The sequence below is a fragment of the Homo sapiens genome, chromosome 2, assembly GCF_000001405.40.
Source record: "Homo sapiens chromosome 2, GRCh38.p14 Primary Assembly".
Classification (NCBI taxonomy): domain Eukaryota; kingdom Metazoa; phylum Chordata; class Mammalia; order Primates; family Hominidae; genus Homo; species Homo sapiens.
Window position 1 is genome coordinate 113,200,277 of NC_000002.12, and position 12,888 is coordinate 113,213,164.

The following is a 12,888-nucleotide window of genomic DNA, read 5'->3' on the forward strand; positions in this document are numbered from 1 at the left end:
CCTGGGTGCCTGCTTAGGGTGAGGGCCCACTGGGCAGGAAGGGTAGGTGAATGCAATGTGAAAATAGAGGGAATCAGAGGCCACCCAGAGGCAGAGACCAGGAAGTGGGAGTCAACATCGCCTCCTGCCTGTCCCCGCTGTGCCCGCATGCAGCCCTCTGCCTGTCTTTCAAGGTCCCAGGCTATCCCTTGGCTTGTTGGTTGTATCCATGGCTGTGAACTCCCCACTTCTCAGAGGCCTCAGGGTGTGGCTGTGAGGACCCAACCTCTTCCTCCCACTGACCAGCTGGGACCTTTAACAAGTCACCAGCCCTCCCTTCCGCAATGATTTGTCCCCTCCCAGGGCTGGCATGAGGATCCAATGGGATGGAGGGTGAGGAAGCACTTTGTAAACTGGAAACCATATCCCAAGGATGCTAGCTGCAGGGGCCTCAGGAGTACAGTGTTAAGTAGATGAGGGTAGTTAGCATCATGCTCCACAGATGCCAATTGTTAAAATGCTATTTAGACCCAATTAGGGCTGTACAGATGTGAGCTGTTTGTGTGTAGGGCTGCAAAGATCTCAGGCATAGTGGGTGACACATCTTTTAGTGCCTCAAAGATGGAACATGGCATAGAGATGTTAGTTACAGCACTCCAAGGGGTTGGTTATTATTAGAACAGGGCTGGGCTGATATGTGTCATTATAATACTATCCAGAGGTGTGCTCTGCAGTCTGCTTATCCAAGCATTATACTGACACTCACGGTTGGTCCAGCCCTCTTTCTGTCGAGGTCTGTATCGCCATAGCTTCATGTACCTGTGAGCTGTCCCTCACGATTCTAGCCTCCTCCCAACCTGGAGCCAGGATGGTGCTAAGGTGGTGGGGCCTGTGTGTTGCAGAAAACCCGCTACGAGACCTACGTGCAGCTGCTGGTGGCCCGCCTGCACTGCCCCTCTGATGCTCTGGACCTGTGGGAGGAGCAGCTGGGGAGGGAAGCTGGAGGCACTCGGGAGCCCAAGCTCAGCCTGAAGAAGTCCCACTCGAGCCCGTCCCTGCACCAGGATGAGGCTCCCACCACGGCCAAGGTGAAGCGCAACATCTCAGAGCGCAGAACCTACCGGAAGATCATCCCTAAGCGGAACCGCAATCAGCTGTGAAGCCAGCACCACCTCAGAGACACTGTTCCCTGCTCCAGGGTAGACCTGAGATGAACCTCCCTGGAGGAGACTTATTTCAATGAGTCCACCATGACGGATGAGGCACCTCCTTTCCCTGCTGAAGGACAAACCTTGTTTCCCTGTGGCCCTCATTCTTGTGCTCCCTGAAGCTTTCCTAATATTGCTGTGCTCCCCACCACCCCCATGGCAGTCCCTCCGCAGCCCCAGTCCCTGGCCACGCCCAAGGGAAGAGGGAGGTGAGGACTTGACTTTCCTCCCAGAGCTCAGCCCATGTCACCCTCCAGGCCCCAGAATCCAGAGTGGCCTCATTTCCTAGACTTGCTGAGAACTCAGCACTTGTTTGAGAACCAGTGCTTATGTGGTGTGCCCTTGGCTTCTGGGGGAGAGCTTGGGGCAGCAGAGGCCCCTGGGCAGCCCAGCCAGGGGAGCCACAGCCCCAAGGATGGTCTTGCTCTGGGAATTAGGTGACCTTCCTGGGGAGGCCCCAGGAGAGTGAATCAGGGACTCTTGAGAAATTCCTAACCAGCCTCCTGTGACCCAGGGAGCAGGGTCGCTAAGGTCCTGCCCACTGAGGGGACAGCCTTCTGGGCAGGGACCTCGGGGGGCTTCAAGGGCTCTGCACGGCTGTGGGGCCCTGTGCCTTTGTCTCCTTGTGTCTCCTTTCCCCCGAAGTAGATGAAACAGTCTCACATACCCAACTGCTCATCAACAGAGCAGAGCTGATGGCATGAGTGAGGGCTGGGCGGGGTGGGGCCTCCAGAGCTTTGCAGGGAACCCTGGAACCCTAGGAACAAGGAGCCTTTGTTCCAACAGAGCAGAGAAGGAGGTTCTCTATGTTCAGACCACTGGAGAGGATAGAGAGGTAAAAGGTGGCGACAGTTTCCCTTAGGGGTCTGCCTGGCAGGAGCCACAGCTCAGGAGAGTTGTGAGGGATGGGACGGAGGCTGGCGACCAGGCGAGGCCTAGGCCAGGCTCGGGAGACTTTTCTGTGCTCCTTTCTACACATGCCTTAAACCTTCCTTCCTGTGGGGTGCCTGGACCCCTTCCCCATCTCTGGCAGCTCAGAGGGTCTCTGCTGCTCTCCCCTGGGAAATCCCCTCATCCTGCCCTCTGGCTGCCTCCCAGCTGGGCTTGTTCTCTGAGGGAGGTTCCGGAGACTCATGGACTTGGGGCTCTGCCTGTAGGAAGGAGGCTGGGCCGGAGGGACCAGCCACCATTGTCTCTGTTCAGCCAAGTGTGCAAGTAGGCTGCCCGCCAAGAGGGGGCCTCTGCTACCCGCTGCTGCCTGCCGGCTGACACACTGCCTCCCCAGCCTTCCTGCTAGGCCACCCTCCTCCCTTCCCATGCTTGTAACCAGCTCTGGGGCTTGCACCTCCACAAAGTAAGGTTGGCCCTTGGAGGCCATGTTTGGGTCTCCGGCCAGGGCCTAGGGCTAGGCCATGCACCCAATGGGTGCACAATAAATAACAGGTCAACAAAGAGGGAGGTGTGTCAGTGTGTGAGGAAGGGAGGTCAGGCAGCTAGGACCACCTGCAGTGTGGCAGGCTTCATCCCTCTTTGCTCCAAGTGTGTATGTGTGTCTGTGCATGTGTGTAGTGTCTGTGTCTGTGTGTTCATGCATATGCAGGAGTCACACGGTCATAGGCCATCAAAGCTGGAGGAGACCTCAGAATCATTCATTCACCTACTTGCTCATTTATTCATTCATTCATTTTGCAGATAATATGGGACGCTTTCTATGTGCCAGTACCAGGGGATTCACAAATGAATTAAACATGTCCCTGACTCCATGAGTTGACAATCTTGCCCACTGGTTTCCTGCTCTCAGTTTACAGAGGCACTTTTATCTTGCTGGGGAAGTGTGCTGAAAAGACACATTCCCAGCCCACACCCAGGGATGCTGATTCAGTCAGCCTGGGTCAGAGGGATAGATAAATATGTTTAAAGCTCCTTGGGTAATTCTGATGTGTAAGTAGCAGTTAGCTGCAGTAGAGTCCAATTGCCTCATTTGATTGAAGTGGAATCCCAGCATCAAGTGGACATGACTTTTGGCCCAAGACTGATGCTTACAAACTAAGTGGAGTAGGTTATTTGACCTCACTGAACATGCATCCTTTTTTTTTTTTTTTTTTTTTTTTTTTTTTGGAGACGGAGTTTCGCTCTTGTAACCCAGGCTGGAGTGCAATGGTGTGATCTTGGCTGACTGCAACCTCCACTGAATCAAGCGATTCTCCTGCCTCAGCCTCCCAAGTAGCTAGGATTACAGGCGTGTGCCACCACGCCCGGCTATTTTTTGTATTTTTAGTAGAGATGGGGTTTCGTCATGTTGGCTAGGCTGGTCTCGAACTCCTGACCTCAGGTAGTCTGCCTGCCTCGGCCCCCCAAAGTGCTGGGATTACAGGCGTGAACCACCACACCTGGCCTATGCATCCTTATTTCTAAAACCATGATAAAAGGTGAAAGTCTGAATGCATGTGTGTGTGACACTTTGATGCTCCTTTGCTCATGTAGAACCGGCACCTCTCTTTCACCTGAGCACGTGGAATCTTCAGAGCCAGATGATGGTGGCTGCCTGGCCTGCCATAGTCAATGCTGCCCAGGCACCTCTGCCTGGAGGGTCTGGGTTGTGGGCTGCAGTTATGACATGTGACCACTTGGAGGCAGGCTTGCATCTTTCTAGCTTCTGGCTGCTCAGGTGTCCTGCTGTGGAGCTGAGCTGTGCTCCCTGAAAGGCAGGAAGTTATTATGTGTGCCCCTGTGCCATCACCGAACCAGGACCTTCAACTTCGTAAAACCCACAGTGGCCTGGGCCAGGACTCCCACCATCTAGGGAAGCCTCTCCTAGGGAAAAGACTGGGGCTCTGACATCTTCCTGCAGATGGAGAGAAAGAAAGACATCTCAGAAGTCTATGGGGACAGCCTACAGCTCCCCACAGGGTTGCTCCAGGTAACGCTGGAAGGTGAAAGCTGAGCAGGCTCCAGTCCCCATCCTAGGTATGGAACAGATCAAACCACCACAGGCCTATGTCTGACCTTGTTCCCACCCCATGCTCCTCTCCCACCTGTGTCCTTCTCTTTGCAGGAGAAGGGACAGACAGAGGTTCTCAGTGATGAGCTCAGGCTCTGGAAGGGCACTTGAAGTTTGGCTTTAGTTCTTCCTTTCCCATATAGGGGAGCTCAGCTTCCAGGGTCCTGGGCCTGCTGTGACCCAGGTTGTTACTCCTGATATAACTGCTTCCTGGGCTCTCATGATCTCAGCTGAGCCTGGCTTTCTGCTGATGATATTTGTTTGTTGCTTGCCAGGCACCAGGGTAGATAAAAAGATCACCAAGACCCGCACCTTTTTCCTTAGGAGGGTCTGAGTCTTCAGGAGACGGAGACATATGGAATGTGTCGGGGTTGGAAGGAGCAGGACTGGAGGGTCGGGGTGAGGGGGGCAGAGGGAAACAGGGCCGTCAGGGTGGCCTGAGGCCAGATCATACAGGGTCTCCAATGCAGCCAAGGAGAGTGGCTTTTTGTGAATGTGCAGTGCAACTTTTTTTTTTTTTTGAGACAGAGTCTCGCTCTGTTGCCCAGGCTGGAGTGCAATGGTGCGATCTCAGCTCACTGCAACCTCCGCCTCCTGGGTTCAAGAGATTCTCCTTTCCCAGCCTCCCAAGTAGCTGGGATTACAGGCATGCACCACCATGCCCAGCTAATTTTGTATTTTTTAGTAGAGACAGGGTTTCACCATGTTGGTCAGGCTGGTCTCAAACTCCTGACCTCAAGTGATCCAGCTGCCTCGGCCTCCCAAAGCATTGGGATCACAGGCGTGAGCCAACGTGCCTGGCCAGTGCAGTGCAATTTTTAAAGAGAAGAGTGCCAAGCTCAGGGCTTGGAGGACAGCCTAGGGATTTTGTTTTAAGAAGATGAGCTGGGCGCGGTGGCTCATGCCTGTAATCCCAGCACTTTGGGAGGCTGAAGCGGGCGCATCACCTGAGATCAGGAGTTCGAGACCAGCCTGGCCAACGTGGTGAAACCCAGTCTTTACTAAAAATACAAAAAATAGCCGGGCATGGTGGCACATGCCTATAATCCCAGCTACTCAGGAGGCTGAAGCAGGAGAATGGCTTGAACCCAGGAGGCGGAGGTTGCAGTGAGCTGAGGTTGCGCCATTGCACTCCAGCCTGGGTAACAGAGCGAGACTCTGTCGAAAAAGAAAAAAAAGATGAAATGCCTTGAAAAAGTAAGGCCAATGGGTAGGGTCAGAATATGGCCTGCAAATGCACTGTACTATTTGTGTAACTTATATGTAAATCTGAAATTATTTCAAAATAAATACAAAAAGAAAAAAAGGCAATATCCCAGAACCTTGTGAAAACCTGGCCGTAGCAGGTCCTTTTTCCTCCTGCTGAGCTGAGCAGGCATGCTCACAGATCCTCAAGGTTTCTTGAATGGCTACTGTCCTCCCCACTGGCCCCTCTGCCAACACCTCTGCCCCTCAGCTTTTCTGATGCCCATGCCCCCTCACCAGCTAACTGTGGCTTGCACCTTTACCTGTTCCCTTCATTTTCCCTTCTCCAGAGGAAGAGGTGCTCTCCACAAGCCTGTGACCAACTGTTCCCCTCAGCCGGCACACTGGCTCCTCTTCTCCTGCCTGCCACAGACCTCTCTCCTTCATGGGCCCACTGGGGCTCTTTGAGCCTATTCTCTACCCCCTTCATTATCATGCCTTGCAAACACCATCATGAGCAAAAATCAAAGCTGGTGTTAGACTCTCTTGCTTTCCATAGCTGACCCTGGCTTCCCTGCTTTCTGTGATGAATTCACGGTATGTGTGGGCTTTGCCAACTGTTCCCAGCCCTTACCAGGTTCCCATTCATACCTGGCTCTAATTCACACCTTACAAATCGGCGTCCACCCCACCTTTGCCTGAAATGGCACCTCCTAGGGCAATTGATGGCTGCAGTCATCAACTCTGATGCCTTCTCAGCCTTCTTCCGCCATCACCTCTCAGCGACCTTTGGCCTTGATAGCTATGTGATCATCTACCAGACCCTGCACCCAGGCTCAGCCTGATCTTGCCCCAGTGGCCAGGCCCTTGAGTGGGACTGCCGGGAATTGAGTCCAGCTTTTCTAGCCATCTGACCGTGGCCAGTTAGCCTCTTATGTTCTGTTTGCTTCTCTATAAAATGGGGATAATAACACTACTTATGTCACAAGGTCCTCATGAAGATTAAGTGAAATTATGCACGTAAACATCTCAGAACAATGCCTGGCACAGAAGGGACACCTGTGAGGTTAGCTATTAATTCATAGCCTCACCAGACTTACCCCACGTCTGCTCCCCTCCTCCTTTGGGCTCTGGCTTAGGCTCTGCCCTCATGCATGCCATCCTGCTTGGATGCTGGGTAGCTTTGCACTTGGCTCTGCCTTGGCCTGCAAATAACAAATCTGAGCTCAAATGAGCTTTAGCAGAAAAGGACTTTGATTGGCTCCAATAGCTGAATAATCTGTATCCAGGTCAGGTGAGGCTTCATCTCGGGCTTCACTCTGATTCAAGGCCCCTTTTCTCTCTTGTTCTTTTGGGGGCTCCATCTCCCAGGCCTATGAGCAGGAACAACCCTCATGCTTCCAAGATGGCCCCAGGAACTCTCAAGATCCATTTTCTTGGTGCAAATATAGCAGAAAGTGACTCTCTGCTTCCTGGAAGTTTCAAACTCAAATCCAGGAATAGTCTCCTGTAGCAGCCTGCCTTGGGCCGTGTGCCCATATCTGAGCCAGTCACTAGAGCCAGGGGTTTAAGGAGATCAGAGTCCACTTCTGGAGAGGATGAGAGTGAAGTCAGCACCACCAAAACATAGGGACCAGCTGTGGAGAAATTGTGAGTACTGGAAGGACAGGATAGGAGGAATGGATGATGGGGAGAAAACCGACTAATATGCAGATGCCCTTTCCTCCAAGAGGCCTTCCCTAAGTCTTCCTCCTTCAGTTTCTATTACATGAAACTCTGTAACTCTCCTCTCCTCTCTCCTCTTCTTTTTTTTTTTTTTTTTTTTGAGATGGAGTCTTGCTCGGTCGCCCAGGCTGGAGTGCGGTGGCATGATCTCGGCTCACTGCAAGCTCTGCCTCCCGAGTTCACGCCATTCTCCTGCCTCAGCCTCCCGAGTAGCTGGGACTACAGGCGCCCGCTACCATGCCCGGCTAATTTTTTTGTATTTTTAGTAGAGACGGGGTTTCACCGTGTTAGCCAGGATGGTCTCAATCTCCTGATCTTGTGATCCGCCTGCCTCAGCCTCCCAAAGTGCTGGGATTACAGGCGTAAGCCACCACGCCCCGGCCCTCTTCATTTCTTTTTGCCTCTCTGCTTCCAGAGCAACATAAACTCCCTGTGGGCAGGAACTGGGATTGTTGATTTCCACTGCTTCCCCAGGGCCTGATATCTAGAGTCGAAAGAATGCACATCTCAAAACTATGTCCTGGTTCTTTTTCTACTTTCTTGCATATTCTTTTTCAGGCAGGAGTGCAGTGGCACGATCTCAATTCACTGCAACCTCTGCCTCCCGGGTTCAAGCAATTCTCCTTCCTCAGCCTCCTGAGTAGCTGGGATTACAGGCATGCACCACCACACCCAGCTAATCTTTGTATTTTCAGTAGAGATGGGGTTTCACCATGTTGGTCAGGCTGGTCTCAAACTCCTGACCTCGTGATCCGCCGGCCTCTGCCTCCCAAAGTACTGGTGCATATTCTTTTTCTGTCTTTCCTGCTACTCCCTCTTGCTCTTCCCACCCCTAAACTATGTAGCCTCAAAGATCTTACCTGGCTGACTGCTGGGCTTTCAAGATAGTTTCTGGAAGAAGTCTCTAAATCTAAGCCTTCAACTCTCATCTCTGTTCTGAATTTCAGACCTGGAATTCTAACTGTCCACAATACATGGCTCCTCAATATATCTTCCTGAAATTACAAATGACCATACGGTACAGGTGTTACTATATTACCTGTAAGACCACACTCGGTGTCATCTCCTGCAAACTAGTCCTCTCCTGACTCCTCTGTTTCTGTGAGTGATTCTGCGATGGCTTGAGGTCATCCGTTTGCTTTGAAAGATCACACACCAGGATACATACAGAGATGTGACCCGGATGGATGGACCTTTGCCTCACAATCAGGGTAGAAGCCTCTGGTTTTCTTATTTCTTTGTCCTCCTCTGTGGTGTGACACAGGTTCAGGAGGAGGTACCCAGACACAGAAGAGATGCTTTCCCTGTGCAGGCTTGCTGACAGTCTTGCCCACCACTCCTGGCCTCCTCCCTCTACATGTCCACATTCGCTGCTCTGACCCTGAGTTGGACCCAGCTAGGAATTGTGACTTCAGTTACTAGTATTTCCTCTGAGCCTCTAGTCATGGTCATGGGCTAATCTGTATATGAAAACCCACTTGAAAGAAATCCCAGTGCTGAAGAAAGAATTGAAACATACAGATCGTTTCTTTGCTCAAGGGAGTGTGGATTTCAGTGCTCTCACTGAGCAGAGGCTGAGGGTGACCACCTTGGATCTTCCTGCAGGACACAGCCCAGAGAAACTGAGCCTGAATTTGCTGCCATGTTTTGAGGACATTATCCACGCTAGTCTCTTTCATCTGGGCCGAGGTGGGTAATTTTCCTTAGAGTCAAGTACTAGAAAAAGTTTTGCTTCTTCTAAGAGCTGGTACATTGCCCTCTTGTGAATGAGAGCCATGTATGTGACCACAACACCCTTTCAGTTGACCACTAAGAGACTGAAGGCCAATTCCGGATCAACTTTACAGCCGCCTACGGCCTGCTATACCACCCATGGCATAGTTTCTGTGGTCTGATGCTTTATTTTTTATTGCATTTTACTAATTTATGGCATGCATATCATATGAGCAGTCTCAAATCCTCCCCAGAACAAGGTGAGGAATATATTAATATTTAAAATAAAATAAACAAAATGTCAGTGTGTGTGTGTGTCTTAGGCTGGAAATTCCTTAAGGGCAGGGACCATGTCTGTTTATATAGCACCTGGCACAGTGTCAAATTGAGGCTTAACACATGAATTTTGACGAAGAGCAGAAAGAAGCTGCAGAGACTTAGGCCTCATTCTCCCACCGATAGTCATCCAGACCAGTGTCCCCTTCCTCATGCCTGACGAATCCTTACCCCACTCCTAACCATACAGATTCACTCCCCACAGTCTACCTGGTCCTCATACCAAGCTCATACTCGCTCACAAACCCAGCCACACCCACACCTGCTCAGAGGTTCACCCCAATCACCCAGCCCACCCTTTCACCCACTGTCCCCACCGCCCTGCAAGCCCGTCCCAGGCTGGGCAGCCGCGTGTGGTGCTAGGAAATGCCACTGGCATTTGAGGCGTTTGAGGTGCTGTCCCCACACGTGCCTTGGCCCTGTGGGGGCCTCCAGCCAGGCGGGGACCTGGGAGAGGGAGGGAGAGGATAAGCCGCTTCGAAACTCCAGATGCAGCAGTTAAAAAGAGGACAGAGGCAATGATCCTTCAAATTGCCACATCTGTATAATCTGCCTTTTATTTTCTGCTTCATGAAGTTTTATTTCCTATTATTTATTCACCTCCCCGCCCTCCCCTCCCCCGCCTCCACTCCTCCTTAGCAGGCGACATGCTCAGATGGGCCCTGAGCCTTGGCCCGGGTCTGGGTCCACCCCCATTCCCTCCCTGGGGCTGGCTGCTGGGAGGAGGCACCTGCTCCCCGCTTCTCTGACTCCCTATCTTCTACTTTCCCTCCCTTCCTTGGGACATTTGGGTACTGCATCCCCCCATCATTGTGTTTCAGCCTCTAAAGTCCCCTCCCTCCATCCTCCAAGTAGACCTCTGAGAAAATGTGTATGCATCATAGGGATCATGGAGGTGAGGCCTGTTCCTAAAGCCTGTATCACTGTCACCTCCCCCAGCAGTCCTAGAACTCACAGCCAGGTGATGTCCCTGGCCCTCTCCTTTCCTCTGCTTGCCATTTCCCACTCTCCCCACCCTGGACCCTTCTCTCCCTTTTCTAGTCCTCCAACCTGTGGTTGAGGAGCTGGGCTGGTCCACCCTGGGTGCAGGGGGCTATCAAGATGGGAAGGAGGGGACCAGCCAGATGTGCAGGGAGGGGCAGCCTGTAGTCTGTTTTCAGGCCTTGGGTACCCACTGCCCCCTTCCCCACCCAGGTGTAAGAACAAAGCAGCAGCTCAGAGAGAGACCCAGGCCTTCTGGTTCTAGGCTTGTGGTCCGGTTAGATAGGTTTGGGGCAAGTCTGGAAGACGGCGGTTGGAATGGGGTGAGAGGGTATTTGGGAAAGGATGCTGATGATGTTTCATTTCTTCCTTGCCCAGCACCGCCTTACTCCTCCCAGACACAGAAGCATAGGAGGCCAGGGGAGCAGCCTTTTTCCAGGAAGACAGGTCGGACTTCAGGCTTGAGGGTTAGAGTTTGCAGTTGCTGTTCCTAGTGGCTGCTTCTTGGAGAAGACAGTGATCCCAGATAGAGGCCTGGGATGACCATGAGGGATTTTGCAAGTATTATCTGAAAACCAACAGTATTTTGTATTTTATGTGCAACTGTCTTCTGATGTTCACTTTCCCACTTTGCTCTATAGTTCTGTACAAGTCTCGTTTCTTAAGCTGTTTTTTGTTCGTTTGTTTGTTTTTGTTTTTTTTCCCCTTGGGAGCTGGGAGGAGTCCTTTTGGGTTCATCTTGTTTTCTCCTGGTGCCTACCAAAGGGAAACGTTCATAGCAGGTAGTTCATAAAAGACTTCTGAATAAATGAATGAATGAGTGAATCAACTAATGTAAGGGCTATAGCAGAATCCTCATGCCCCAGCCTATACTAACTGTGGCTAGCTGGCTGTCCTCTGGTTTCTGCCCCATCCTGGAATTTTTTGGAAGCCTGGCTTTAGCTCGGCAAGCTGAGTCAGGACCCAAGCTCCCATCAGGCAGGGTGGGGCACCAGAAGCCGAGCCACTCCCACCCCAAACACAGAGCAGATTCCAAATATGGAAATATGGTGTTTGCCTGATGGAAAATTCCCGGGGAAACTTTGGAGAAAGAGGGCTTCATACCTAAACCAGTCAGATGAGGCCCTCAATGCTTGTCACTGACCTGGGTCACTACTGCGTCACAGCGTTGAGCTGGACATTTTTCTGGCTCAAGCCATGCATTTTACAGTTGAGGTAAGTGAGCAGTCTCCTGGGGTCGCCAGAAGGGAAGGGACAGAAATCCGGTCACAACCCTACACTCCAGGTCTGGGCCCTTTTAGCAATATCCCTCAGCCAATCTCTCCCAGGGGGAAAACAAAGGCAATAACCAGGGGCCGTGTTATTATGATATGATAACTAACAAAAGTTTAATAACACCAACCAGTTCAGCCCCTGGAATAACAGACCAGGCCGACCCTTTCCCGCTGCCTCAGCAAAGAGGGTGTTTCTAGGGAAGAAATGGCTATACTTTGCAAGTAAACACTTTCATCACCTTCATGACGACAAGAGCTCCAGGCCTTGTTCCTGCCTTCTTTCTTCCTCCTTGTCTGTTTCTCTTCCTTGTTTTCCTCCGGTGGGGAAATGAGTTTCCATTCTGACCAAGCTCATCTGTTTTAAGGATAATTTCTTTCCCGCTGCAGTTAAGTCTTCTGGGTGCTCTCATTTCCCCAGGGGGATGGATATATGTGGGGGTATTAATGCTACCCACAGCTGGGGGCCTCCCCACTGGGTTCCTCTAGGAGGTGAGGACAGGGGAATGATGTGACTTTGGGGGGAGGATGAGAGGGCCTGGACTGTGAGGTCCCAATCTGTGCTCCTAGCAAGGGCTGTCTGTGGCTGTCAGTGAAGCTTGCTACCAGGCCCCCATCTCCAGCAAAAAAAAGCAAACAAACATAAAACAAACAAAAAAGACGGTATTTATAAATGAACTTGTCTCTCACTGGGGCGGCTCCGGGCGTCTGGGCAGTAGGCGGATAAGCCTGCGCCCACGAGGTCGTGTTCAGGAGCAGGAGCTCGGGCTCCTGAAACTGGAGGGGAGGGTGCCTTGTCTGGGGGAGGTGCCTTGGCTTCAGGGAGGGTGCCTTGGCTGTGGAGAAGGCAGGAGAGAGTCTGACGGGAAGAAGACCATGGAGGAGGAGGGGAAGTGGGGGGGTCTCGGAGGGGGTAGGGGAGGGAGGCGCGGTGGGGGGGTGTTGGCTTCATGCTGTTACTAGTTTGATTTATCCCTAATGAGTTCTCAGCACATGGCTGCTCCCGGCTCACTCCAGGGGCCAGCCGGCCCGCCCCGACTCTGCAGCAACAGCAGCAGCTCGCTCAGAAAAGAGCCAATTTCCACACTGCACAGTCCGCTTCACTCAGGGGGAAATCACATTTCCCCGGGAGAGCCGCAGGCAGCGCTTCCCTCCACAGCCTGGCTGGCTGCCACCGGGCACAGATGCCAAGGAGCTGGGTCCCCCACCTCCCCTTCCCTCCCCATCCAAAGCCCCTCTTGCCACCTTCCAGGAGGCCTGAGCCCCTCCACCGTGGGCCTTAGCCCCTGCTGCTTCTCAAGGGTAGGAGAAAGAGCGAGGTCAGGGGAAGGAGAGACCTGTCCGCCCTGTCTGCCTGCTCCAGCTTCTTGCAGGAAGGAGAACCAGGCACCCTCCTTCTATGTGAAGGGCATGGAGATGTAGGGATGGGGTTGGTGACAGTGGTGTGTGCCTATGAGAGTGGGGACTCGTGGGGACAGGCGTCTGCCAC

The 12,888-nt window shown here is 52.4% G+C and overlaps 1 protein-coding gene across 1 annotated transcript in view, besides 3 other annotated features; it reads left to right on the top strand.

Moving 5' to 3' along the window:
• PSD4 (pleckstrin and Sec7 domain containing 4) overlaps positions 1–9,115 on the top strand; it is a 35,421-nt gene extending 26,306 nt beyond the window's left edge. The window contains exon 17 of the mRNA NM_012455.3: positions 882–9,115. Within this exon, the coding sequence (NP_036587.2) occupies positions 882–1,139 (258 nt within the window). The 3' untranslated portion in view covers positions 1,140–9,115. The remainder of the gene's footprint in view (positions 1–881) is intronic.
• Positions 3,609–3,658: an enhancer, noted in NCBI's record as "active region_16416". NCBI's record gives its function as "activates an Ori minimal core promoter by ATAC-STARR-seq in GM12878 lymphoblastoid cells {active_cell/tissue: GM12878}" and the evidence as "EXISTENCE:reporter gene assay evidence [ECO:0000049][PMID:35858748]".
• Positions 3,999–4,048: an enhancer, noted in NCBI's record as "active region_16417". NCBI's record gives its function as "activates an Ori minimal core promoter by ATAC-STARR-seq in GM12878 lymphoblastoid cells {active_cell/tissue: GM12878}" and the evidence as "EXISTENCE:reporter gene assay evidence [ECO:0000049][PMID:35858748]".
• Positions 11,916–12,210: a silencer, noted in NCBI's record as "tiled region #2961; HepG2 Repressive DNase matched - State 8:EnhW". NCBI's record gives its function as "represses a minimal TATA promoter and a strong SV40 promoter by Sharpr-MPRA in HepG2 cells {active_cell/tissue: HepG2}" and the evidence as "EXISTENCE:reporter gene assay evidence [ECO:0000049][PMID:27701403]".